The 3,158-nt window shown below is 44.3% G+C and overlaps 1 annotated feature.

Moving 5' to 3' along the window:
- Window positions 724-1,604: an enhancer, noted in NCBI's record as "NANOG hESC enhancer chr10:67169083-67169963 (GRCh37/hg19 assembly coordinates)". NCBI's record gives its function as "activates a minimal SCP1, AML or CMV promoter by ChIP-STARR-seq in primed H9 embryonic stem cells {active_cell/tissue: H9 hESC(primed)}" and the evidence as "EXISTENCE:reporter gene assay evidence [ECO:0000049][PMID:30033119]".

Here is a 3,158-nt window from a genome sequence, read left to right on the forward strand (position 1 = left end):
ATTTAAGCTGTCATATGTGCAAGTGAGACATATGGTTCAGCAGATGCAATGGTGTGTTAATTGTTGGTGGCAGTTAGGGATGCTGAAGTGACTGGTTGGGGTGCTCCTGTAGGTGACTATATACTGATTCATAGGCTATGGCCAATGGTTTGGCTGGATGGTCAGGGACTTAGACAGTAACATGGTTGGAAAATTAATGACAAAACAGTCTGGGGTAGAGATAGGAGGTGGGTAGACCTCTCTGAATGGGCCAAAAACCATGAAGATATTTTTGACCCATGTGAAGGCTCACCAAAAGGTAACTTTAGTGGAGGGAGACTTTAATAATCAAGTGCGTAGAATGACCTGTTCAGTGAATACCAGTCTGCTCCTTTCTCCAGCCACCTCTGTCATTGCCCAATGGGACCAACAAATTGGCCAGGGTGACAGGGATGAAAGTTGTGCATATGATTGGAAACACAAACTTCCACTCACCAAGGTGACCTGGCTACAGTCACTGCCGAGTGCCCAATCTGCCAGCAGCAGAGACCAACACTGAGTCTACAAAACGACACCACTCCCCGGGGTGATTAGCTAGCTACCTGGTGGCACACTTACTACATTTGATTACTTCTGTTATGGAAGGGATTGAAGGGGTGGGTTGCCCCTCCACACCTGTGGGTGTTTCTCGTTAGGTGGAACGAGAGACTTGGAAAAGAAAAAGACACAGAGAGAAAGTATAGAGAAAGAAATAAGGGGACCCAGGGGACCAGCGTTCAGCATATGGAGGATCCCGCCAGCCTCTGAGTTCCCTTAGTATTTATTGATCATTCTTGGGTGTTTCTCGGAGAGGGGGATGTGTCAGGGTCATAGGATAATAGTGGAGAGAAGGTCAGCAGATAAACACGTGAACAAAGGTCTCTGCATCATAGACAAGGTAAAGAATTAAATGCTGTGCTTTAGATATGCATACACATAAACATCTCAATGCCTTACAGAGCAGTATTGCTGCCTGCATGTCCCACCTCCAGCCCTAAGGCGGTTTTCCCCTATCTCAGTAGATGGAACGTACAATCGGGTTTTATACGGAGACGTTCCATTGCCCAGGGACGGGCAGGAGACAGATGCCTTCCTCTTGTCTCAACTGCAAAGAGGCATGCCTTCCTCTTATACTAATCCTCCTCAGCACAGACCCTTTACGGGTATCAAGCTGGGGGATGGTCAGGTCTTTCCCTTCCCACGAGGCCACATTTCAGACTATCACATGGGGAGAAACCTTGGACAATACCTGGCTTTCCTAGGCAGAGGTCCTGCGGCCTTCCGCAGTGTTTGTGTCCCTGGGTACTTGAGATTAGGGAGTGGTGATGACTCTTAACGAGCATGCTGCCTTCAAGCATCTGCTTAACAAAGCACATCTTGCACAGCCCTTAATCCATTTAACCCTGAGTTGACACAGCACATGTTTCAGAGAGCAAGGGGTTGGGGGTAAGGTTATAGATTAACAGCATCTCAAGGCAGAAGAATTTTTCTTAGTACAGAACAAAATGGAGTCTCCTATGTCTACTTCTTTCTACACAGACACAGTAACAATCTGATCTCTCTTTCTTTTCCCCACAAGGGATAGTGTTTGGTTCTTACTGGAATGGACATTTACTTTGGATATGCATTTTCCTTCCCTGCACACAATGCTTCTACCATCCATGGACATACGTAATATCTGTCCACCATCATGTTATTTCACATAGGAGTGTTTCTGATTAAGGAACTCATTTTACAGCAAATGAAGTGAGACAATAGAGCCATGCTCCTGAAATTTACTAGTCTTACCATGTTCCTTGCTATGCTGAAACAGCTGGATTGATAGATCTATGGAATGGCCTTTTAAAGACTCAATTACATTGCCAATTAGGTGGCAATACATTTCAGGCTTGTTGCAAAGTTATCCAGTGGGCTACATATGCTCCGAAAAAATGTCCAATATATGATGCTGTTTCTCCTATAGCCAGGACTCAAGAAGTCTGGGAAATGAGGGGTGAAAATGGGAGTGGCATGAATCTCTATTACTCCTAGTGACTCAGTATCAAAATGTTTGCTTCTTGTCTTCATGGCCTTATATTCTGCTGGACTAAAACTCTTAGTTCCAAAGGGAGGAATGCTTCCATCATAAAATCTAACAATTAACTTATTGAATTAAAAGTTAAGATTGCCACCAAGTCCATTTTGGACTATTCATGCCTCTGAATCAACAGGCAAAGCAGGAGTTACTGGGCTGGTTGGGGTGACTGCTCCTGACTAACAAAGAAAAACTGGACTGCCATTTCACAATGGAGGTAAGAAAAAGTATGTGTGGAATACAGGAGATACCCTAGGGAGTCTCTTAGGATTACCATACCTTGTGAATAAAGTCAATGGAAAACTACGACAACCAATTAGATAGGAGTACTAATGCCTAGACCCTTCAGGATTGGTTTAGGTCACTTCACTTGGTAAAGAATTATAACCAGCTCAAGCACTTGCTGAAAGCAAAGAAAACACAGAATGAATAGTGATAGATGGTAGTTGTGAATACCAGCTATGACCCTGTGACCATTTACATAGATGAGACCTGTGGTTGTCATAATTGTCAGGAATATTTTCTCTTTATTTTGTTATGAATATGGTTGTGTGTGTGTGTGTGTGTGTGTGTGTGTGTGTTTATATATAGTTGACTCTTTTTTTTTTTTTTTTTTTTGAGACAGAGTCTCACTCTGTCACCCAGGCTGGAGTTCAGTGACACGATCTCGACTCACTGCAAGCTCCACCTCCCAGGTTCACGCCATTCTCCTGCCTCAGCCTCCCGAGTAGCTGGGACTACAGGCACCCACCACCATGCCTGGCTAATTTTTTGTGTTTTTAGTAGAGACGGGGTTTCATCATGTTAGCCAGGACGGTCTCCATCTCCTGACCTCGTGATCTGCCCACCTCGGCCTCCCAAAGTGTTGGGATTACAGGCATGAGCCACTGCGCCTGGCCATACAGTTGACTCTTGAACAATATGGGGGTTGAGGTACCAAGCCCCAAGCAGTCAAAAATTCACATATGACTTCTGATGTCCCAAAACTTAACCACTAGTAGCCTACCGTTTGCCAAAAGCTTTATGGATAACATAAACAGATGATTAACACAGATTTTGAATATTA

Source organism: Homo sapiens, chromosome 10 (genome assembly GCF_000001405.40).
Source record: "Homo sapiens chromosome 10, GRCh38.p14 Primary Assembly".
Taxonomy (NCBI): Eukaryota; Metazoa; Chordata; class Mammalia; order Primates; family Hominidae; genus Homo; species Homo sapiens.